Genomic DNA, 25,401 nt, shown 5'->3' with positions numbered 1-25,401 from the left:
ATCTAAGCTGCAGAACTGTTGGCTGGAAAGGAGAGAGTATTAATTATAAATATCACACAGCAAGTGATGGTAGTGTTATATGGTCCACCCACAGGAGCTATTAACTCTCATGGATGCTATTTTAGACAATTCATTTTTAGTCTAACATTAGTTTATAACAAAACATGGAAACAGCAGCACCTCTAATATCCCATGCTAAAGAAAAGACGGGAAGAAAGGCTGACTTTAAGAAAGCTAAACAGGCTGTCTGGAATAATGGGACAGATAGTATAGGAGAAAACTTCAAATGAAAATCCAGTACTGGATTTTTCCTCAGAAGCAGTAACAAATTGCATGCTCTATAGCAAAGCAAGAAATGTATAAATTCCAAAAACATTATACCAGCCAACTTTTTTGAAGAGTGATATATATGTTTCTTGTCTTAAAAATGGTAGAATGTCCTGTATTATACTACTTCCTCTTTCTCTCCAATGACCACTAAACCTGAGTGTAAGAAGTAAATTAGGTATTTTAAGCATACTGACACAAACACAATTTTTAAAGAGTATATTTAGTAATATAACCATATTGCACATTCATTTATCACTTTGTAAACATCTGGGATTCTGGAAATTCTTAGAAAAAACATGGTGGCAACAATTAACTGGGACAATACTTTTTCTCACACCAAGTTTATAAACCAAGAACTGGAGACCAAATGAGAGTGATTTTTCTAAGGCACATTGAACCCTTAGGCCCCTGACTTCCTGTGGTAGGGGTTACCTTGGATGACCTGGCCTGCTGAGACACTATTCAGTCCTCTCACAGTCTCTATCATTTCTAAATTGGAAGAGCTTCAAGAAAACGTCATCACCCCCATACCTAACAAACCTAAGGGTCTTGTCCTCTCATCTGCCAAGTGCCACATCATACTGGTTCATGAAATGTCTTAGTAGCACTTACAAATATGCAAGGCTAAGATCACAACAAATTGACAATATTATTCACCAGTCTGTTGATCTTTATGTTTAGATAGCACTATTTCACCTCTAGACACTTGATTCATTGGTATATCAGTACACTACAAAAAGAGGAAGAGAGAAGATACTGCTTAAATTAAGTCACATGAGAATTTTTAAAGTCTTGGTGCAATGTGGATTAAATTAAATAAAGAAATTCATCTTCTTTGCTTTAAGATGATGCCTACATTTCCTGTGTATTTTCTGGGGGACTATTCCATTTAAATCATCATATAGCACTAGATAAAAGAATACAGTAATGAATCATAAAGTCCTAGAATGTCAAACTGGAAGGAACCTCAAAAGTCATTGAACCCTCTCATTTTCCAATCAAAGGTGGAGAGCTTAGGTCCAACGTTGCTCAGCTGATTCAGCAGGCAGCAAGGTCTCCTCTCTCCCTAAAGACCTTTGCTCCGGAGATGGTCAAGGAGATGCCACAACCTACAACTAACTGATTCACAGCACCTGGATACTGCATGCCGATCTCCGAACGTGTGTGTCATAACCGTCACCCTACACCCTTTTCTTGGCCATGTTAAAGATTCATCTGCCTCAGGCCTAGCCCTCAAGTCCCTACCCCACATATGTGTGTAAAGGAGACTTGTTAGCAGCAATCATAGAAACACAAATAAGATGCTGTGAACAAGAAATCCCACACTGAAAGCGCCAAAAATACTCACCAGCAGAGTTGATAGCATCCTCTTGAGATCCCAATGCCCACACAAACCAAACATATGTAAATTAGAACAGGAGGATAAATAAAGAGCAATGTGTTTTTAAAAACACAGGAAATAATCAAATGATTTTTTAAAAATTATACTTTAAGTTCTAGGGTACATGTGCACAATGTGCAGGTTTGTTACATATGTATACATGTGCCACGTTGGTGTGCTGCACCCATTAACTCATCATTTACACTAGGTATATCTCCTAATGCTATCCCTCCTCCCTCCCCCCACCCCACGACAGGCCCTGGTGTGTGATATTCCCCTTCCTGTGTCCAAGTGTTCTCATTGTTCAATTCCCACCTATGAGTGAGAACATGCGGTGTTTGGTTTTTTGTCCCTGCGATAGTTTGCTGAGAATGATGGTTTCCAGCTTCATCCATGTCCCTACAAAGGACATAAACTCATCCTTTTTTATGGCTGCATAGTATTCCATGGTGTATATGTGCCACATTTTCTTAATCCAGTCTATCACTGATGGACATTTAGGTTGGTTCCAAGTCTTTGCTATTGTGAATAGTGCCGCAATGAACATATGTGTGCATGTGTCTTCATAGCAGCATGATTTATAATCGTTTGGGTATATACCCAGTAATGGGATGGCTGGGTCAAATGGTATTTCCAGTTCTAGATCCTTGAGGAATCACCACACTGTCTTCCACAATGGTTATGATTTTTAAAGAAAGGCACAGCCTAAGATTTTGTAACCCAAAAATGTGGCCTACCTGGCTATTCTTACCTGTGGGTCATTTTTTTTTTTTTTTAAAGCTCATTCATATAGCCACTTAATCTCCCCTGTTTATAATAGAAGGCTGGAAGGGGGGAGGGTCAGGAGGCAAAGTGCTTCTCTGCTGTTGCTCCAAGGCTGAGGGGTGTTGCCATTGGATTGTTTACTGTGAGTCACGAAGTCAAGTCACGCATCTGTGTTTTTAAAATATATATTTACTTAAAGGGAGAATACAGAACACGCTTTTAAAAAATACGCGCACACATCTTATTATTGAAGGGAACGCCACAGTTCCTCTTAGGTCAAACTGTTCTCTATTCTGAAGGAATTCCTTGGGCCTTCTCATTCTGCGATGTTCTAACAGGGCTCAAAATTGGCAGCCTGGGTCCACAATCTGGCCGCAGATGGCTTTGCTCTGCAGGCACAGTATTTTTAAAAATTAGAATGTCAGTGTTGCTTGACTTTACCTGCTCTTTCTCCTTCTCTTTGGGGTCCACCACCACCTCCAGATGTGGGCTGGGCTAGCCCCTGGGTGGTTGGGTTTTTCAGTCACTGTCTGTTCCAGGGAAGGACTGCAGGCTGTGGAAGGCCCTGACCGGAAGGGCAGAGCTGGTCTCACTGTCCTTCCTCTGCCTCAGAGGCCATGGGAGGGGGAAGGTGAGGAGCTAGTGAGGTGTGGTCTGTGTCAAGAATTCCTTTGGTGTTGGCATCAGGGATGAGCTGTGACTTCTCTGGTCCCTTGACACCTCTCTCACATCCTGATCTCAGCTGCTTAAATGCTTCTTACCTGGCCAATTGTTAATGGGCTGCTCTCCTTTCTCTTTGTAATGCAAACCGGGTTGGGTTGCTGTCTGTCTCTGGAGCCCAGGAGATTTCATTCCTGAGCTACACGGATAAAGAATTCTAGCAGGTCTCTAAATAGGAGGCACTGGAATTAATACTAGATCCTCACATTATTTTATTTGTAGTTACTGATCTAAACATATTGCAGTGTATATAACTCAGGGTAATATAAATTTATAGTAGGACATGAGAATTCTTATTTATGTTTTGATCAATATAATTTTTATATATGTAAATTTTATATATGTGTATATATAATTAAGATGACAGGGCTGGGTGCGGTGGTTCATGCCTGTAATCCCAGCACTTTGGGAGGCCAAGGTGGGGGATCACTTGAGATCAGGAGGTTGAGACCAGTCTGGCCAACATGTGGAAACTCCGTCTCTACTAAAAATACAAAAATTAGCCAGGCGTAGTGGCACACACTTGTAATCCAGCTACTCAGGAGGCTGAGGCAGGAGAACTGCTTGAACCTGGGAGGCGGAGTTTGCAGTGAGCCGAGATTGCGCCACTGCACTCCAGCCTGGGTGACAAAGGAAGACTCTGTCTCAAAAAATAATAATAATAATTAAGATGACAGAAGATGACAAAATATTTTTAAAAGGGTGGGAAGTAAAACTGTAGAAATATTCTCCTTTGGTTCATTTATAAGAAAAATGGGCAGAATGGTATAATCAGGATGGTTCAGACTCTGAAGTCAGGTTGCCTGGGCTTCAATACTTGGCTAGCATTTAAGCCACCCACTAACCCCATGACTCATCATAGGCAAGTTACTTTCTGTGCCTCAGTTTCCTTATTATACAATGGGGTTAATAACAGTAACAATCTCAAAGGGTTATAATGGATTTAATGAGAAATGCATGTAAAAGCCCTTGGTCCAGTAGCATATAATAAGCCCTTGATATTTTAAAATTATTGTTATTATTGTTACTATGTAGTATAATTAATAACTTGACTTGAATGATACTCTTTTTAAGAATCTGAGTTCACAGGACTTTCACTCTAGGTTCTTGAATTTCTCACTAATTATTATATCTCATATCAACCACAGCTCAGACCTTACAATGAATGAGCAACTTGTAGTTGCATACAAATATTTTAGCACATAGTTCTATAGTTTAAGTCTGAAAGTTCTTAGGTACAAAATTAATTGTGAAGGTAAATGAACTCTAGGAAAATAAAACCTGACCAGCTCAAAATATTTGATAAGTTGAAAGATTTTACTTAACATCACAGATAATACTTTAGTAATAAAATTTAATACAGCCAAAAACAGCTTGGGCAGACTTTAGGCCCCTCCCCACAATTTCTATCAGTACCCTTAAATCTATCCCACACCAAAAATAATCTGAGCAAAACCTCTACTATCTCCCTCCCACCATGGAGAAATTCTGGAGCCAGCCTAATGTAATCTATGTTAGTAAGAGGATGAAGGAATAATTGAATGGTCAAATTTGAGTCATGTTCTCCTCAGGAGACCCACACAGCCTCTACAGGGCTTTCTATGGGATTGCATGTAGATCTCTGACAATCTATTAGTATTGACATGACTGGATTAGAGTCTGCTTTCTTCCACCTTAAAAAAAACTCAACCTGTTTTCACCACATGGGGGAAGACATATGAGTAGTTGGCAGACCTGGGCAATACAAAGCAGGCTGGGTGAGTTTTCATGACGTGCAGCTTAGCAGGGAGGCAGCTGAGTGACTGATTCTCATCTATCAAATAATTCACACGACAGATGCTAAGCAGTGCTGTCTAGAACATGACCGGGCCAAGAAAGATGCTAATGCTGTTAAGATCTTATGTGTCACTCTTCCAGATTAGATTCTGGCCAATTGAGAGGATGGACTAAAGAGGAGGATTATTATGAAAAATTCCCCCTACTGGGCAGGGTGAGCTGGACTTGTCACCATTGCCACCTGACCCTTGGCCATTTTAAGCATTAATGACTAGCCAGCAAGAGGGATATTTTTGTGCCTAAGGGCTTTAGAATGCCTTAGCTGACATCTCAGAGACAGGCATTGACTGGAAACCAGTATTGCAGAGCCACCTAACCTAAAATGGAGTTCCCCACAGGTCATACTTGTGTTTGCATAGTGCCACTGATGCTTTGGAACAGAACATCTTTCATCCAGGTATTTATGTGAAATGGACAGACCGGTGTATTTTGTAACCATCACCTTGTAAATCACATGTAGGTATATAACTGTTTCAGGGAAAACACTGAATACTGTAGATATTTCCTACCACCACACTACAGAGGAGTCTAGAAAAATGACAAACATGACCAGAAAAGACCTGGTGCTTAAGAATAAGAAGGTCTTCTGGGAAGTCCAAATAGAAAGGGTGGGGAAGACAAATTTAATCAGCAACAACAGCAAAACAGAAGCTCTGAATGCCTAATCCTATACTTGGCTTTTCATCTCGGGATTCCTCAAACTCAGGGAGCTACCCCCTTAACCCAGTGGTTCTCAATCAGGGGAAATTTTGCCCGCCAGAGGATATTTAGCAATGACTGATTTAACCAATTGGAGACAATTTGATTGTCATGACTGGATGCTAATGGCTGGAGGCCAGGGATGCTGCAGCCTATGATGTACAGGAAAGCCCCCACAACAAAGAATTATCTGGTCCAAAATGGAGTAGTGCTGAGTTTGGACAACTGTGGCTTAACTCACGCCTGTGGGTACGACCTGCTGTATATCGAGGATAATGTGACCCTGCTCAGGGTCCTCCAGCCAATGCCTCTGGCTGAAGAATCAGCCTTGCAACTTAGACTGCTCTGCCTTTGATCCACTGTGCCTGGCTCTTGCCTCCTCTCCATCCCGTGTCCCTGTGTTCCTCTGCTGGCTTCCTAACTGGTGTTTTGGTGGGTTCATCACCAACTGTGGTCTTAGCTTTCTTCCTGACTCCTTCAGCAACTGAAGTCCTGAGTCCCACCTACTAGTCCTCTGGGCCAGCACTCTGTGGCTTTCCATGGAATCTTCTTGATACTAACTAATCTGTGCTGAGGATATCTCCTTCATTTCCCGCTCCTAGGCCTTCCTGAAGACCCTATGATGACTGAATAAACATGCTTACCTCTCAAATTTCAAGGCCTGGGCTTTCTTTTTATAATATTATATCAAAAGGTCTGCTCTTTCCAGCTCCTTGAATACCTGGCTTTTGACCCTGGCAAGACTTCCCTCATACCAAATCTTCTGACACCCTCTGCTTGCACTTGTCTGATCCCAGAGGTTTCCTTGGTCTCTGCGCCTACTTGCTCCTTGCCTGGCCTGTCACCTACTCAATGAGACTTGGCTATCACAGAACCTAAAATTCCCCTTCTCAAACTTATTATTTAATGAAATTAATGGCAAAACTGCAATTACTTTTGCACCAACCTAATATAAAAACAGTAGGCTGACCTCACCGTAATTAATATTTATCAGATATGAGTTTCTATTTAAAGAATCCAGAGAATAATCAGCTCCTTTCAAAATCAATTCATTTAATAAAATACAATTTTGAAAGTTGATGTGATGAAAGCAGAACTCCATAGCTGAAATAAAAAATATATAAAAAGGAAATCACTTTATCTGCAGGCAGGCAAATTAAATATTTAAGAAAATGCCACAGCAAAACTCCCTGCTTTTCAAATGAGCAGTTCTGTGAAAGGAGGCTTAGGTAACCGCTGATGTTAACTGTTGAAAAGGTTAATTACATATCATCTTCCTCCTTTTTATCATCACAACTTTTTGGTTAATGTATCCCTTCCTTAATTATACAGATTACATCCATATCTGGTGTAGTAATTGCAACCTCAGATGATTTTTCTGGAGAAACCACAGACTTCAGCTTGAGCTACTCCAGGTCATGTTTCTTAGCCAATAGCTGGGAGCTTTTTTCTGCGACAATACATAAATAATCATACACAAATGTAGCTGAGTTCCTATCACAATGGAATGTTTTTAAAATATCATTTGGAGCAATACAAGAACAGTGCAATTTGCCCAGAAGTTAATGTATGTTGCTTAAGGTGAATGTGCATAGCTGTGTGGTTTGGCTATCGACTCAGTTCTGAAGCTTTTATACACAATGAATACACATAATTATTTGCAGTATACTGCATCTATATTGATTTCTGAAGTGAAAACACAAACTCTCTTTGTCCTAGTAATAATAATAGTGATCATTTATTGAGCACTTAATTTGTGCTGGGTAGCAAAGCCTTTTACATGGATTATTCCATTTAATCCCCACAACAGCTTTATGAGATAGGTGTCATTATTATTTCTTATTTTAGAGATCAAGGAAATGTTGCCTAGGAAGTAACTTGCCCTAGATTATATAGCCGGTAAGTGACAAACACCAAGTTTAAATTTATATAGCATGACCATGCTCCAATACTTCACTGCTATGCTACCCTCCTCACTGCTAATTTTGAAGACTGTATTTCTCTCTTGCAATGTTTAGGGACATTTTCTTACTCTGTTTTATGAACAACAGCACTTGGACTTTCCTCCTTGGAGCTCAGATTGGACCTTATAAATTGTTTCCTTAAGAGGTCTTCTCAATTAAGCACACACACAAAACCTATGTCTTAATAATAGAAATCATCCAATACCATTACAGTCTTTGGGGACACAGATGGCACATGGGGTATAGAGAATTACAGGTAGGTGTCTGTGTGCTGACTCCATCTGCACAAGAAAAACACTTTTTATTGTTTTCTGGGCTATCCCATGACTGCTGATGAAGGCATATTTTTTAGTTGCTGTAGCTATAGGCATAAGCTGTGGATTTCTGGAGCTATGGTGCTCCTATAGTTTGAAGGGCTGTTATTCCCTTCTACAAAGAATAACTAATATGGGGACTGACTCTCCAATTGATGAGAGTTGGTTGGCCTCTGATGAGAAGTGATTCTTTTATCTTCCCCAGGCTTTGGTTTTATCAGGGCTCTGTATAATGAAGGAAGCTTGAGCTGTGATTGGGATCCTTAGGGTGGAAGATTTCCTAAGGGGTAACATATTAACACCTGACACCAAACCATAAATATGGGTTGGAAACAATGAAAGTTCTATGATTCTTGGTCAGTGATGCTAGATCTGGGATCACTTCTTGCCAAAGCCAGATGTCCAAAGAGGGCTTAGCAACCTCCCAGAAATTCACAAAACCACTCCTTCCCTATGGTCCTTCAGTGGCTTCCTCTTGCCCATAGAATGGGGCCTAAACTCCACAGGAGGCATGCAGAGCTCTTTCCAATCCGATTGCCTGTCTGTCTCTTCTCCAAACACTTTACACCATCCACTCACTCTCCAAGCCTCCAGTCCAGTGGAACTCCCTGAGGGTCGCTTCCCTCCATTCCACTGCCATTTCCTTCTCTCAGAAGTGTCTTTCCCACCTTCCAAGCTGAGCTCAAATTGCACCCCTGGCAGAATTAATCACTGGACTACTAATATGTTTCAGTTTTGTCTGTGCATATCTCTATTAGAACATTTGCTATAGTGCAATTTTTTTTGTTTGTTTATCTGACTGAGAGACTGGATAGAAATTATGGTTAATTCACCTTTCTAGCCTAGAATCCAGAACACAGGAACTACTTGATCAGTGTCCAATAGAGGCTGAATTAGGCTCTTAAACTACTCTAGGATGTTAACAGTGTCCAGCATACATATCCACCTTATCTAGTTTGCAGTGAATCTTTTAATCAATGAAAATATTACTATTTTGTCTTTTTATGTCACTTAATTTTCTTTTTTTTCTTTCTCTTTTTTTGAGACAGGGTTTCACTCTTGTTGCCCAGGCTGGAGTGCAATGGCACGATCTCGGCTCACTGCAACCTCCGCCTCCTGGGTTCAAGCAATTCTCCTGCCTCAGCCTCCCGAGCAGCTGGGATTACAGGCATGTGCCACCACGCCTGGCTAATTTTGTGTTTTTAGTAGAGACGGGGTTTCTCCATGTTGGTCAGGCTGGTCTTGAACTCCCAACCTCAGGTGATCTGCCCACCTTGGCCTCCCAAAGTGCTGGGATTACAGGCATAAGCCACCGTGCCAGGCCATGTCACTTAATTTTCAAAAGAATGAGGAGGGTGCCAAGACAATTTAATGGGGGGAAAAATAGTGTTTTCAACAAATGGTGCTAGGACAACTGGATGTCCACTTGCAAAAGAATGAGGTTCAGCTCCTTCCTTATGCTATACATAAAAATTAACCCCCAAATCAATCATAGAATAAGTGTGAGAGATACACTATAAAATTCTTAGGAAAAAAACCAGGCATAAAGCTTCATGATCTTGGATTAGAATGATTTCTAATGATTTTCTACCTATGACACCAAAAAGTACAAGCAACAACAACAAAAAAAGGATAAATTGGACTGGGACTATAGCAAAATGAAAAAAGCTTTTGTGCTGCATATAATACAGCACCAAAAAAAAAATTACACTAAGAAAGTGAAAAGATGGCTGGGCCCGGTAGCTCACGCCTGTATTCCCAGCACTTTGGGAGGCAGAGGTGGGCAGATCACTTGAGGTCAGGAGTTCGAGACCAGCCTGGGCAACATGGCAAAACAACATCTCTACTAAAAATACAAAAATTAGCTGGGCAATGGTGGTGCATGCCTGTAGTCCCAGCTACTCAGGAGGGTGAGGCAGGATTGCTTGAGCCTGGGAGATGGAGGTTGAAGTGAGCTGAGATCATGCCACTGCACTCCAGCCTGGGCAACAGGGTGAGACTCAGTCACAAACACACACACAAAGGTGAAAAGACAACACACAAAATAGGATGAAATATGAAATATTTGAACAACATAATCTCATAAAGGATTTCTATCCAGAATATATAAAGAAGTCTTACAACCCAATAATAAAAAGTTAAATACAATTAACAATAAGCAAAGGATTTGAATACACTTTTCTCCAAAGGAAATATACAAAGGCCAATAAACACATGAAACGATGTAAAACATCATTAACCCTTAGGGAAATGCAAATAGAAATCACAATGAGATACCTCTGCATACCCAGGAGGATGGCTATAATAAAAAAGACAAATACTAACAAGAGTTGGCAAGGGTGTGGAGAAACTGAAACCCTCTTTCATTGCTGGTGGGAATGCAAAATTATGCAGGCATTTTGGAAAACAATTTGTCAGTTCCTCAAAATGTTAAACATGGGGTTGCCATGTGACCTAGTAATTCCACTCCTAGAGAACTGAAAACACATATCCACACAAAAACTCATACATGAATGTTCATAGCAGTGTTATTCATAATAGCCTCAATGTGGAAACAATCCAAATGCCCATCAATGGATGAATGGATAAATAAGATGTAGTATAACCATACCATAAAACGTTATTCAACAATAAAAAGAAATGAAGTAGTGACACATGTTATAATATGGATGAACCTTAAAAACATTATACTGAGTGAAAGAAACCAGTCACAAAAGATCACATATTGTATGATTCCATTTATATGAAACAGATTAGTGGTCACCTAGTGCTGGGGAGGGAGAGAGGATGAGGTGACTCTTTAATAAGCATGGGATTTCTGTTTGGGGAACAAAAATGTTGTGAACTTACATTGTGGTGATGAGTGTGCAACTTGGTGAATATACTATAACAATTACATTGTATGCATTAAATAAGTGAATTTTATAGTAAATACTATATCAATAAAGATATTAAAAAAAGAAAGAAAGGAACTAGCACGTATTAGTGTAAAGATAACCTGGTGGATATACCATGTGATATGGTTTGGCTGTGTCCCCACCCAAATCTCAACTTGAATTGTATCTCCCAGAATTCCCACATGTTGTGGGAGGGACCCAGGGGGAGGTAATTGAATCATGGGTGCTGGTTTTTCCCATGCTATTCTCGTGATAGTGAATAAGTCTCATGAGATCTGATGAGTTTATCAGGGGTTTCCGCTTTTGCTTCTTCCTCATTTTTTTTCTCTTGCTGCTGCCATGTAAGAAGTGCCTTTCGCTTCCCACCTCCTGCCATGATTCTGAGGCCTCCCTAGTCATGCGGAACTGTAAGTCCAATTAAACCTCTTTTTCTTCCCAGTCTTGGGTATATCTTTATCAATGGCATGAAAATGGACTAATACATGTCTCAGACAATGAAGGAATAATTCTGTTTCCTTTATATACTCCTTATAGATCTTCTTAGCACTCCAAATGGATCTGACAGTCTAGGTGAGTATTTCCTAGGTATCTATGGATCATATTCAGAGCTGGTTGCAAAATCTGATGAATATGTTTCTTTCCAGAAAACATAAGTGCACGCGTTAATACATTCACATATAAGCATACACACAATTTTATGGGGTTCTCTGAAATTCACTCAAGAAAGTGCTCTTAGAAAAAGTGTTCCCTGGTGAAACTGTTTGGGAAATCTCACAGGAAAAAATTGTGATGTGAAGAAATATATTAAGGACCCTGAGGCATCTTGGTGTCAAACAACCTAGTAACTTTGTTTAACCCAGTATTTCTTGGCTGTGTTAGATTAGAAAAATCCACTTATAAACATCTGGTGGACCACAAATTCTCTTGTGGAACATAGTTTAAGAAAGAAGAAATTGGGAAGAGTTTGTTCATAGGCTATCCTTTCAGAGCAGTGATTCTTTGGCTGGATGTGAGAATCTCTGGGAAGCTTTTACACAATATGTCCAGGTTGCACTTAAATCAATTATATCACCATCTCTGTAGCTGAAACCTGGGAATCTGTGTTCTTTAAAGCTCTTCAAGTGATTCCAACAGGGAGCCAAGGCTTGAGAATAAGCATCACAGGGCAGTTCAAAGGTGTCCCTAGGAAGCTTGTTCATCACTCAAGGCCTCAGATTCATAGATCTGAGATAGACCCCTCTCATTGTGCACAAGCATCCAGGTGAGTTGGGTGTATTTGGCCCTATGCCATTCTTTGAGAAGCAGCATTAAGAATGAAAGAGAAAAATATCTGTCTCTATCAATTTATCACCAAAAACTACAATTTTAAAATGATATTAATAGTTGTTGGGATAAAAGAGAAGTTCTCACAGCCTGGTTTCCAGGGCAGCAGCAATCAACATCACTTTGTAATGCGTTAAAAATTTAAATATTTGGGCCCCATCCCAGATCCAGTGAATTAGAAAGTCTGGGGCTATGGCCCACCAATTAGTGTCTTAACAAGTCCTCCACGGTGATTCTGATGCATGCTGCAGTTCGAGAACCACTATAGCATTCATTACCTATGTGTTTTAAATAAACTAATCAGTATATTGATTATTTGATAATCAGCTTGTCTGTGCTTATCTCAGCTCTACAGATAGAGGTCCCAATCATCTTGAAAGTGACTATTTTCCATTAAACTTATTCTGACCCTCAAAATTGCTGACAACACACACAATTTAAATTTGTGATATTTTTGTGAAAGAGGTTAAAACTGAGGAGCCTCTCAGAGATAAAGATTTGGATATGACTACACTCACTGTGGTTTGGGGAGAAATATTCCTTTTAACTACATCTGAGCACAAAGGAGACTGACTGAAATTAGCAGAGAATTGCCATTAAATTTGGGTTAATAAGGTTTGCCAGAAAAGATAGTGGTGGTGAAACTAATGGCATATTTATCAACACAGCACACAAATGGAAGTCAGATAATTCCATCTGAAGGCTTCACAGGTTTAGGGACTTTTCCCAGCAATTATCTCCCCAATAGGAGGAAACTGTTGACAGACAACTCTGGGTGAGAGTCCATCCTAATTGCTGGGGCTCAGCTTGGCTGTGGGGAATAATGAGTGAAAGTTTAGGGCATCATTTCCTGCAGTGTAGTTCAGGCAACTGGGATCCAGAAACAAGGTTTGCTGATGACTAGACCTAAAATTCCTCACAATTAAACAGAGTTATGTCAGTCTCTTCCTATTTTATAGATTCCTGGGATATTCTGCAATTGAGAACCACTAACTTCATCAACTTAAAAGAATATTTGTCATAGCCAGTTCGTACTCTGTGCTGGGCGGGGGTACTCCTGTCATCTCCTGTCAGGGAATTTCTCCTTGTGAATTTGGCAGATATATTTTGCCCAGAATAGACACTAATTCTGGTCTATGCTTCCGTTGAGTGGAAAAGCACTGAAAACAAGCCAGCCTCTTAGTGCTCATTTTCTCTTGATAAATTTGAGAACGTACTCTCCTAAATATGTGCATAAGCAATCAGGAATTGGGTAGGATTATTCTGTGATGATTACTATTGCCTGTTTTCTTTACTAAGAAAGAACATAGGCAAATGGAATATAAGACTATATATGATGGTCAAAACAAGGGGCCTTACTCACTGTGTGAGGTACACTAGAGGTACACTGTGTACATCAACTGTCCAAAAGGCAATTTGGGGCCCAGGATAGACTCTACTTAGAACTGGATGCCAAGTGGATGGCACTGCCTGTTTCCCATGGCTGTCCTTCCTGACCATCACACTAGTTGATAGAACCATGAGCCCTGTGTGTTTTATCCCTCTTTCAGCTCTTCCAACCCCTAGGGTCCCCTCCTTGGCCATTTCTACTGTGTCCTTTGGAATACAGTTCCCTTACATCTCCAACCTCTTTGTGAGGTGTTGTCTCCACCTCCTTACCTTCTGCAGGCCCTCATTCTGTTATTTGCCAAATCTTGAATAAAGGTGGCACATTCTCCCATATCTGCTCCAGTCAGGTGCTGGTTGCCTATCATCCAGCAGTGAAAGTCATCTTATCCATCCTGCCTTTCTCCGTCACTGTGCTCTGCCAACTCTCAGGGCACTGCGCCTCTTTCCTTAAGGTCATTGGCATCTAGCTGAGTCCTCCTTTCCACTTTCACCCCTGAAATCATATTCCAGGATCTCAGTGGTTGTTGGTTACTGGCCCTGGTTTCTGTGGCTTTCTCTGTGGGACTATGGGACTCCTGGCATGGAGAACTACTTGTAATTCCTGAACAAGACAAGGTCTCTGCTGTGCCTGTGCCTTGTATATTCTGTTTGCTCTGCCTCGGATGCTGCTTCTCCTCCACCTTCCTACCAAAGCCCAGCTCCTTCCCCAGGGTCTCCTCCTCTGGGAAACCTTCTGTTTCTGTTTTCCAACAGTGTGGCACATAGGCCTTTACAATAATACTTATTGTTTAAGCTTATAATACATTCTTCTTGGTATTTAGTCTTTTATCATATTGAGCACCTAAACTGTGCCAAGCAGTACAGGACTTCAGTGATTCAACCACATATTTGAGTAATCGTTTAAAGAATTCTGTTTTTATCAATGGAAACTATTGGCTTTACCCACAGACACTCAGTTTCCAATGTCCATGCTAAATTATTTTTGAGACATTGAAGTCTGGGTTTTAAATAATCACAACCAAATGGTGCCTCTCTCCTTGGGTTTTGTGTTTCAGCAAATGGCTCTCCAATTCATTAACTGCTCCAACCCCCCATTTAGCTCCATCTCAGTTTTAGAGGATCCAGCATCTGTCCGATGCCCATCTAGACACTGGATTTTTCAAAAGCATATCTGTCAACATGTAGCCAGAGATAGCAAAAAATCAGTGGTTCTGATACTTCGGTGCTTGTTGTAATTGCCTTGGGGAGGAGGGGGAGTTAAAAAAAAAGGAGACTCAGGATTCCCTGGAAATTCAGATTTCTTAGGTGTCAGTTGGGCCTAGGAATCTGCACCTTAGTGAAATACCCAAGTGGTGCGGGTGAGCTATGTGCACTGCTCCAGAGTCTTCAGGTTCTACCCTCGAGCTAACATACATCATTAGTGAGAAAAACTCTAGAGAGAAGCCCTTTCTCAGTTACTACCTGATATCAGTTCCTCAGCTTTAGGATAGAAATGACCCAAGAACAGTTTGTTTAAAAGCATTTCTTTTTCTGTTTTTTTTTTTTTTTTACTTTGCAAAGTTCTCGTTGAAGATAACTTAATTCAAAGAAAGGATTTTTCTGCCTATATACATACATATGCCTTATTTTGCCATTAAAATGAAAAATTCACTTATTGTATGTATGTATGTTTATGAGTATTTGCACACTATATATATATATATATATATATTTGTTAATATGATTTACTTTTTGCTTTGTTCTGTTTTTTCCTTAGCTACTAGGAAACAAAGTCAGCTTTTCAGTGCTCAAATGGAGAAACAGAAACATCAAATTATTGAGCTTTAGGCTTCTTGGAACAGATCGGCATACACAGAATAATAAGAGCTAACATTTACTGAACACTTTCTATAGGCAAGCTCCCTGATATATTATTATTTCATTGAATCCTCTGAAATCCCTATGAATGGATATGAATAATGTATATCCTCACTTTACATATGAAGAAATCAAGGGATGCATCCCTTATCAGATAGAGTAAGGCCCAAGGTGGTGTGAAGACATTGTGTACCCAGGACACAATGTTGAGCACCTAAACTGTGCCAAGCAGTACAGGACTTCAGTGATTCAACCACATATTTGAGTAATGGAGATGTTAAGCGTGGAGGAGAACTCAGATGGGATGGATTCTAAGTGAAATTCCATTAAAAATTATTTTCTTCTCAGTTTTGCTTTCAGCAATATTAAGGCAATTTGTCTAAACATGTCAGCAGATCCCTTTTAGATTGCTGATATGCTTATACTGGAATAGGTACAGATGTCGTATCATTCATGCCTGGAAAATGTTAAAGCTATAGCCTCAAATCCACAGCACATCCCCCATCGATCACAGAACACTGGCAGAAAGTCACATTGGCTGCGAAGCAGGTGGTAACTTGAAATGGGTTTCTAATGTAAATTCGGTGACATGGTTGCATGTTTGTTTAGAGCAGGAGGGTGGCGCTACTCAGATTGAACTCATTGGCAGGTAGTACAATGTATTTCATAAAGAACTTACAGAAATACAAGTATCTCTAAACCCCAAAAGTAATGCCAGTTTAAAACAAATTTTTGTTTTAGACTTCTAACATAAATCTAACTGCTAGTGATCTTATTTATAGACTAGACTCTATACTATACTATAGAGTCTATAGGCTATTGATTAAGATATACAAGTTATCTGTGCCTTATGAAGGGGATATACTTTTGCAAGTAGCTCTCTCCTGAGACTTGTACAGGCTGTCAGCAGTGGAGATATTAGAATATGACTTCCTTTTTTTGTAACAGTATTTTATTCTAAAATCAATGCCGTAACTTTCATAGCTAATGGATTTTGTTGGTATGCATTCATTTGCTGCAGAGAAAATCATTGCTTAGATCAGGTTGCTCCAAATAGGATTGACTAAAGCAAGCAAGATGGTATTCTTGTCAAAGCCACCTCATATTCCAATTGACATATTGTATTCTAGTGCTGACAGCTGAAGGCTAGAGTTTTGATTAATCCATTTTCCTCTCATTATAAACACAATCTCTCCTCCCTGAAGGTTCCAGCAATCACTCTAGCAAGTGTTGGACCTTGACAGAACAATGCTTATCCTTTGGCAACCACAGTGTGTACAAGAGAGAAAGAGCTGGGTTTTTTCCCCAAATCTCCTTAGGCATTGTTGGAAGGGGCTCATTTGTGAATGCATGTGTTTCAAGCTCAAGGCTGTATTTTGTTTTTCTCTCACATGGAAGGACTAGAAGAGAGAGGGAGCAGGTGTGCAGGTAACCCATAGCATGACAGACGCCTGCTGCAGAGTATTTCAAAGTCCACAGTGAGGCAGCACCCAATGCAGGGCCCCCAGGATGGATGCAGGGTAGAGAGTGGGGCAGCATCTCCTCCGAGTACACCTCTGTTCTGGACTATGTAAGTCAGATATTGCAGACTGACCTTGCTCCCTAAACCCATAGGCTAAACTATCAAGGACAATTGGAAGCTTACCCTCTGGGCTGCTGCTGTTGATAGTCATAATGGTTTTTGAGAATCTGAGGTTGTACAATAGTCAAAAGCATCCCAAGTTACCCAGTGACCACTTGCTATTCAGTCACCAAATACAGCTGGGAAGAAGGGAAAGAGGAGGTGATGGTGCTTCATGCAGCAGGGAGGTGATGAGCTCTGTTTCTCAAACCTGATTAAGATACGTGATCCAACATATGGTCTGACAGTAGAAATAATTTGGGAAATTACTGTTCTCCCCAAGTCCAGGACTTTGGTACCATGATGATGTGGACCCCACTTGAGGCCAAGATCATGCAGCTCAAAGTAAAGTACTGCCAACACCAAGTCAATCTTAGTAGGTAAATATGAGGCTGTACTTAGTATATGCTGCTAACTGAGGCCTGTGAGCTCCATACCTGTCATATACTGTGAGTTACTGATCTGATTTACCTTCATACAATAGTTTTTAAATTTCATTTTGTATCAAAATAAGCTGGAGGGCTTAGTGAAACATAGGATCCCATCTCATGTGTTTCTGATTTAGTAGGTCTGGGATGGGGCCTGAGTGCCTAGGTGATGCTGTTGCTGCTGGTCCAGGGAGCAAATTTGGGAATGATGGTTTGAGGTGTTGGGCAAGAAAATGTTTTACCTGCCCCATTTGAAAAATGGGGGACTTCAGTACTGGCCTACATGATTTCAGTTGTTTGAATGTCTATGCATGAATGGGAAAGAGAAATATTTATTAAGACACTCTTATGTGCCAGAAACCTCATACATTACCTCACTGAATGCTCACAGCAGCCTGATAGGTAGTTATTATTGTCCTCACTTCCAAGTTAAGAGAATGGAAGCTCAGAGAGGTCAGTTAACTTGCTTAAGTCCATGAAAGTAGCAAGTGCTGAGGCTGAGGTTCACCTTGGTTGATCTGGCTCCAAATCTGTAGACTTTCCATGACATCTGGGCTTGTCCTTACAACAACTTGTCTCCTTTTTGTAAGAAGGATCTTTTAAAGCCCCAAAGAAGGACAAAGTAAGGCTAAGTAAAAGCATGCATCTCGGTTGACTATGTGGACCACTGATTTATTTGTTTTAGGAAGAGGCTGTCCAAACTCTAGACACTACACCCCCAATCACACTGAGTTTCCTTGCTTCTGCCAGTGACACTGGTTACCTTACCTGAATTCTGGTGGCTTTGTCCCGACCTTGACTCTGATCTCATCTCATTCAGCTATCCAGTCAGCACTCCTAGCCTTTGAATAACGGGCTTATCCTAAAAGGGTTCCTGATAAATCCTCCCATGAATGATGATTGCCTGCTGAGCCACCTTACCCATGAGGATGCCATTCAGAACTGGGGCAGACTGAACCTTGTATCACCTTCTCTATCTCTATCTCTATCTCTATCTCCAAGGCCCTAGTTATCACTGCTTCCAAAGTACAGGAATGGTGATTTCTATTACTTTTAATGGTTAGTGTGGATCACAGCATTCTGGATCTGCCATGTTGCAGTTTGGTTAATTCATCCCACAAAAAGATGAGAATATAAGTTCTTTTCCAAGCCTTGCACAGTGTGGTTGCATAATTTTGGGTAACAGTGGTAGGAGAAAGAAGGCAGCAGAGTTGGAGCAGAGAACCAAATTTTAATTCTGATGGCCACCTATTAACATACAGCAAGTGCCTATAGGAGGCATGATCCTTTGCAGGATTCTTCCCAGATTACCCAGGGGTTTTTATCATAAATTCCCATTAAGATATTTTATGTCTTAATTTCCAATGAATATAGAGAGGTGGTATTCTTTTCTCCACAGGGCGAGTTTCATTTTCCGTATTTTATTATGTAATATAGTATCATAAAGTAGAATAAATGAGCCAAGAACGAATTTTTTTCTATTAAAACAGAAAAGATTCACATCCTTCCCTCTATCCCTCTTTTTTACTGATTAAAATAAGCAAGGTTCTTTTTAAAACAAGAGGGAGTTCAACCTTACCCTCTGCCTCCACTCTATCCCCGTGGCCCCAACATAACACTTTCATTAGTTCAGACTAAGTTCATTAAACACAGGAAAAGGAGCCCTAAAAGTTCTTCTTATAAAATATTGGCATGATTTTATCCTCATTCTCCAGCTGTCCCTTAATTATCCAACAGAGCTGGGGCATATAATAAGGTAATCCAGATAAATAGCACTTGGCTTATTTTAAGTAAATGTCAAACCAGGTTAGTCAGCAGAGTTCTGTTTTTTCTCCATTAATGAAATGCCCATGGGAAATAACCAATGTTCTTTCTTCAAAAAATATAGAATTGTGGGCCCTGAGTTTTCAATGACTGCCAATTAAATCACTATTTAAGCATTAGGTACTCACTGCAAAAGTACCGCTAGAACTTCAGCTACCTCGCTATCTGCCTGATAACCGTTCAACAATGAGAAGAGAGAGTAGAATATTCTCCTTTCAAAATGGAAATGAAGACTCAGAGGTTTGTGTAATAAACATGGAGCAGATGAGCATCTTGAATAAAACAAACAGGAGATTTTACTCTCAGAAAAGTGAGAAAATGCCATCTAAAAACAGGCTTGGATTAATTTTCATAATTGTGAGTCATTCATTAGCTATGTAAGTGCATGGCTATATTTAGATCTATGTTTATACACATTTGTTTTGAGCCTGTTCGGCTTGGTCTTTTCCAGCATCCTTGCCTGCCTGGACCCTGGACTTTGCCACACCTGCCTGGCAGGATGGATCTCACAATGCTGTTTGTTTGCTGCTACACCTAGGCTGCCAAGTGCAAATGGAGACAATAACTCAACCATGAGGACTAATGCCACTACATATTGCTAGTCTCCAATTTCAGCTGGACCACTCTTTTATTTGTCCTTGGTCAACTTCCTTTTCGAATCTTCTCAGTGGCCGTTCCAGAACTGTTCCTTTCTCCTGCAGTCTCCTTACCAAACTCCTGCCCCCTTTTGCTCATCAGACACCATGAGTCCTGCCTTGTTCGGAGCAGAAAGAAAGAGCCACTCTGCAGAGGGCAATCTCTCAACTTCCTGTGCTCTCCTTTCAGGCCAGGTAATGAATAACAAAGCCTCAGCTCCTAGGAGTCTCCTTATTATGCCTTTGATTCCCCTCTGCCATGCCATGCACACCCCACAGGGCATGTGGCCTTGGCTTGGTATCGTAATCTTGGCCCCACTTGTAACCTTTGAACTTGAAGACCACTCTTGACTTCCTCAACTTTGAAGCTCAGCACTTCTTGGGATTTGGTTTGTGCTCACATCTTGGCTCCTCTGTTACTGAAAGTCTCACTTTTCCTTTGCTGTCAGTGCCCAAACTTCAGCATCAGCCCCCATTGTGCCAACCCTGGCCTTCTACAAGGAGGCTCAAATAAAAGTGTGTTGATACCATAATCTTCCCTCAAGAAACCCTTTTTGTTTCTCTAGGATCACACACACACACACGCACATAAAATAAATAAAACAAAGGGGTCCCTTGTGCTCAAAGTTCCACTATCTCTAAATACCTATCCCTCCCTCCCACTAAGGATCCTTGAGGTATCAATTACCCATCTCTCTCTTGGAGTTTCAATCTCTTTATTGGTAAGAGTTTCAATCTCTTTCCCTATACCTTATAAATTCACCAGATAAAGAAAATTCCTCCCTGAATTCTGCCTTTTCCTCCAGGTACCACTGAGCATCTCTCTTTCCATTCACAGCCATGTTTTTCAGAAGAGTAATCTGTATTTGCTGTCTCCCTTTCCTCATTTCCCTCTCCAACCCCATTGTGGTCAGCTAAAATGCTCTAGTGTAAGTCCCCATTGACCTTCACATTGCCAATTCAATAGACACCATACTGGATCTAGCAGCAGCATTGGACCTGCTGAGTTCTCCTCCTGAAACTGTCTGCTCCTTTGTCTTTCATGACAGTTCTCATGGTTCTCTTTTTATCAGTCTGCTTGGCTGGCTTTTCTTCTGCCCTCCCATTAAGCACATTGGCGCTCCCCAAGGTTCTGTCCTTTCCACTCCACTTGCTCTCCTAAGATAATCTCATTGACTCCCAAGCTTCTAAGTATCATGCTCTGCCAATGATTTCCAAATTATATTTCTGGCCCAACTCTCCTCTGAGCATCTGACAATGCCACCTGGATAGCTCCAGAATTATGTGACATCCAACATGTCCACAACCAAAACTATTTTCCTCATCTTCCTGCCTTCCTTATACTGATTTAATAAAATCTGAATGTATGGCCTCCTCTAGACCCCTCTTTGACTCCCTATTCAATGACTCCTGAAAGCTCTGGTCTGCTGACCCCACCTTTCATGATCACTCAAAGCTGTCCCACCTCTTCATCACTACTGCTGTTCTTATCCTCTTACCTGACCTACTGCAGGAACTTTCCAACTGAGCTGTAAGAAGGGTCAGAGGCTATAGCTAGACCAATAACTTCCCTACTTTCCTCTACTGTGCTTTCGATTAAATCGGTGGCTTTTTAAGCTTGGCCAAACATTGGAATCAATTAGGAAGCTTTAGAAAAATACTGATGCTTGGCTCCCAATTTCCCAAAATATGTTATAATTAGCCAGGGCAGTTCTAGGCATTGGAATTTTAAAAACTCCATAGGTGATTCAAGTATGTAGCCAAGGTCAAGAACCATGGGTCTAAACTGTTGTTCCAATCACTGTCTTTGCACTACCTCTGTCACATAAAACCCAAGCTCATATACAGGACATAGGATACTGGTATAAGATATCACAGAGGTAAGACTCAGAGTGGAGGATAACTGAGGACTGGGGCAGTGTGATGGGACAGGGTATAGGGAGACAGGAAGGGAGGGATAGAGCAGCAATGGCAGGAAGTGAGAGGGAGCCACTGCTCCTAGCAACTCACTAGCCTGTGTGGTGTCACAGGGCTCCTGCTTCGTGGAAGGCTGTGACCTGCTTCCAGGTGTTTCAGAGCCTGCTCCTGACTGCGGACCCCAAGGAGTCCTTCCCACTACAATGAGCTGGGCTTTTCTTGGCACATGAGGCTTATACAGACCACTTCTCGACTGATCCACTTGTGAGAAGATCCAGACCTTTTCTGGTAGTCATGGCCAGAAAGCAGCATCATATGTACAGCTGAGGAGGGCTACAGGAGCCAGCTTTCCCAAGCTGGCAGGACTCCTGGACACAGCTTCCCCAGCCAGCCTCCCTGCAGGATGAAGATGCTACCGGTTCCTATACCCGTCCTGCACACAGGGAGGTGTTGTAGTGAGTAGGGAGTTGGGTGCGGTGGGGGAACCGTTTTCCTTGTCAATGAACTTTCAAGAATGGAAAGTTTCTCTTGGCTTAAGAAAGCCAAAACAGTTGCCTTATAAAACAAGCAGCAATCCTTCATTCGTAAGCACACTGGGTACAAATGACAACTAAGACCTCTTGGATTCTAGAATTGTGTACTGTCGGGTATTGTGTAGTAATATCTAATTGTGGTTTTAACTTGCATTTCCCTAATGAGCAAAGGTGTTGGGCAGTTTTTCATGTGCTTATTTGCCATTCATATATCCTCCTTGAAGAAGTGTCTGGTCAAATCGTTTGCCATTTCTTTTGCCTTTTAATGTAATTTTAGAAAATAAACTTTATTTTTTAGAACAGTTTTAGATTTGTAAGAAATTTGCATATATTGTAGAGTCCCCCTACATCATGTCTTCAGTTTCCCCTGTGATTAACATCTTGCATAAAAAATATGGTACATTTGTTCCAGTTAATGAAGCAATGTTGATGCATCATTATTAACTAAAGTCTACACTTAATTCAGATTTCCTTTCCTTTAACCTAATGTCCTTTTTCTGTGGCAGCATCCCATCCAGGATACCACAGTACCTTTAGTCATCATGTCTCCTTAGGCCTCTTGGCTGTGACAGTTACTTAGACGTCCCTGTTTTTTTGATGACTGTAATAATTTTAAGATGTACTGGTCAGTTATTTTATAGAACACCCCTCAATTGAAATCTGTTTCATGTTTTTCTAATTAAATATTAGACTGAGATTGTGGGTTTGGGGGAGGAAGGCCACAGAGGAAAAATGCCGTTCCCATCATATCTTACCAAGAGTATCTTCTACCAACTGTTGATGTTGGCCTTGATCATCTGGCTCAGGTGGTGTGTGTCAGGCTTCTCCATTGTAAAGTTATCCCTCCCCCTTTCCATAGTGCACTCTTTGGAAGGAAGTCATTATGCACAACCTACACTCAAGGAGTGGGTAGTTCTGCTCCCTCTCCTTGAGGGCGGACTTATATAAATTTCATGGAATTCTTCTGATTTGCTGATTTTTCAACTGAATGTGTTTACTTACTCCTGAGTCTTAAGAGTTCTTTATATGCTCAGCACACAAGTCCTTCATCAGATATATGAATTGCAAACATTTACTTTTCGACCACAGTTTGTCTTTTTATTTTCTTAACAGTATTTCTGCAAGATAACAGTTATAAATTTTACTCAAGTCTAAATTATTCATTTTCTGTCTTCTGGATAGCCGAAAAGCTGGGGTCTAGCCACAACTCTGCTGCAACTGCACCTACATTCAGGGCTAAGCAAGAGGGCAGAGAGGTGGTAGGTCTTCCATACCCTTTTGGGATTACAGCTCCTTGAATTACAATGGAAGGGTCCCCTCCCTCAGGGTTTTAGGGACCTGCAGACTAGACTCCTGTTGTGGCTGCTGCAATGGAACTGTCTGGGAGTTCAGGCAAATAATTGAGAGGAAAAAATTTCATTGGTTTTCCCTTTTGCATGTCTTGAGTTAGACCTAGGGGGCTTCTCCTGGCATTCTCTCTGTCCATACTCAAGGTCCCCTTCCAGGCTTTGGGCTGCCTTGATTCCAGGCTGCGAAATTCCATAGGAAAATGAGAAACTGCCATAGTGGTACCTCAGGTTCTGGTCTTGTTCCCCAATTGGCCTGTTACAATTTATTTTTCAGAGTCCTCCAGTAGTGATTCCATGCATCTATTCAAACTTGATAGCTCCAGTTCAGAGTGGGCTTGATGAGTCTTAAGGGAGTTCCAGGCCAAGCTCTTGCCAGGAGCCAATCTGTCTTTGTACTTTCCCAGGGAGACTCTGTTCTCAGGCTCCACATGGGCAGTACCTGAACTGCAGGCGCCTCCCCTCACCCAACAGGTGCAATGCTGCAGGACTCCAGATCCCAGTTCTCACAGATTCAAATAAGCAGAAAATCACCAAGAACATATTGCTTAATGTGTGTTCTGTTGGATGACTAGAGAGGAAAAAGGAAGAGTTTCTAAGGCTAATTTTTGATTGGCTAGTGACTAATCCTCCCTTTTATCCATACCTAGGATTAATTTCTTCTAAATCATGATTGCTATTCTGCAGTGGTTTAGTGGAAAGAGCTTGGGGATTGGAACAAAAGGTTTGATTCTAGTCCTGAACACTTATTAACTATGAAGGCAAGTCTATCAAGCTCATGGAGCCTGCTTTCTCAAACTTAAAATGGGATAACCTATTGCACATAGTTGATATGAGGGTCAAATAAAAGCTGTTCGCTACTGACAAGCTACTCAATTGGTTACATCCTCTTCTTCCAGGTTCCTATAGCATTCTGTACTTCCCAGTGTGTAACTCTCAACCCAACTGCAACTACTTTTTCAATGACTCTTCTGGACTAGACTATAAGCTCCTTGAACAAGGCAGACACTGCGCTTGCCTGATTCACTACTATATTGCCAGGCATAAGAGTTGCTAAATAAAAATGTGTTCGATTGTACTATTATAAAACTGATGTTGCTAAAATGATCATTATGATGTTATGTCACATATTTAATATCATATTGTGGTATCAACGTAAACTCATTAGTAAGCAGAACTAAAGACTTTAAGTCAAAGGAAACAATGAATGAATGAAAATTAATGTTCTGAAGAAAACATGGATTTTTACCACCACTCCTACCAACAAAAATCTATTCAACTCTATTCAAAGATCCAGGTTTGCTATCCAGATACCTCTAAAAGAAGAAAATACAGCAGTCTTAAGAAGAATGCATATTTCCTCACGTTGTCAGCTTGACATATTCAGGACAGAATCTCTCCTTCAGTGCTTAACATTTTGATTCATAGACTGAGGTCTCAGAAGCTAAAAAAATGGAAATATGTCATCTAAATGTCAGCACTGATTTTATGATATTCCAGAAGGAAGCAAATGGGAACTCATGAGAGCTTAGGTGTCCTGTCTGAGAGTTCAGTGCACAGTGTCTTGGAAGAACCTGAGTAGAGTGTGTGTGATATCTTGGAAGGATTGGAAATTGGAGTAA

At 40.9% G+C, this 25,401-nt stretch overlaps 1 protein-coding gene across 1 annotated transcript in view; it reads right to left on the bottom strand.

Annotated features, from left to right (window-relative positions):
• Nucleotides 1-25,401, bottom strand: part of KCNB2 (potassium voltage-gated channel subfamily B member 2) — a 401,125-nt gene that overhangs the window by 160,138 nt on the left and 215,586 nt on the right. The gene's annotated exons all lie outside the window — the stretch shown is intronic.

The sequence above is a fragment of the Homo sapiens genome, chromosome 8 (assembly GCF_000001405.40).
Source record: "Homo sapiens chromosome 8, GRCh38.p14 Primary Assembly".
Classification (NCBI taxonomy): Eukaryota; Metazoa; Chordata; class Mammalia; order Primates; family Hominidae; genus Homo; species Homo sapiens.
Note: the sequence above shows the minus strand (reverse complement) of the source record. Positions and strands in the feature narration are given on the sequence as shown.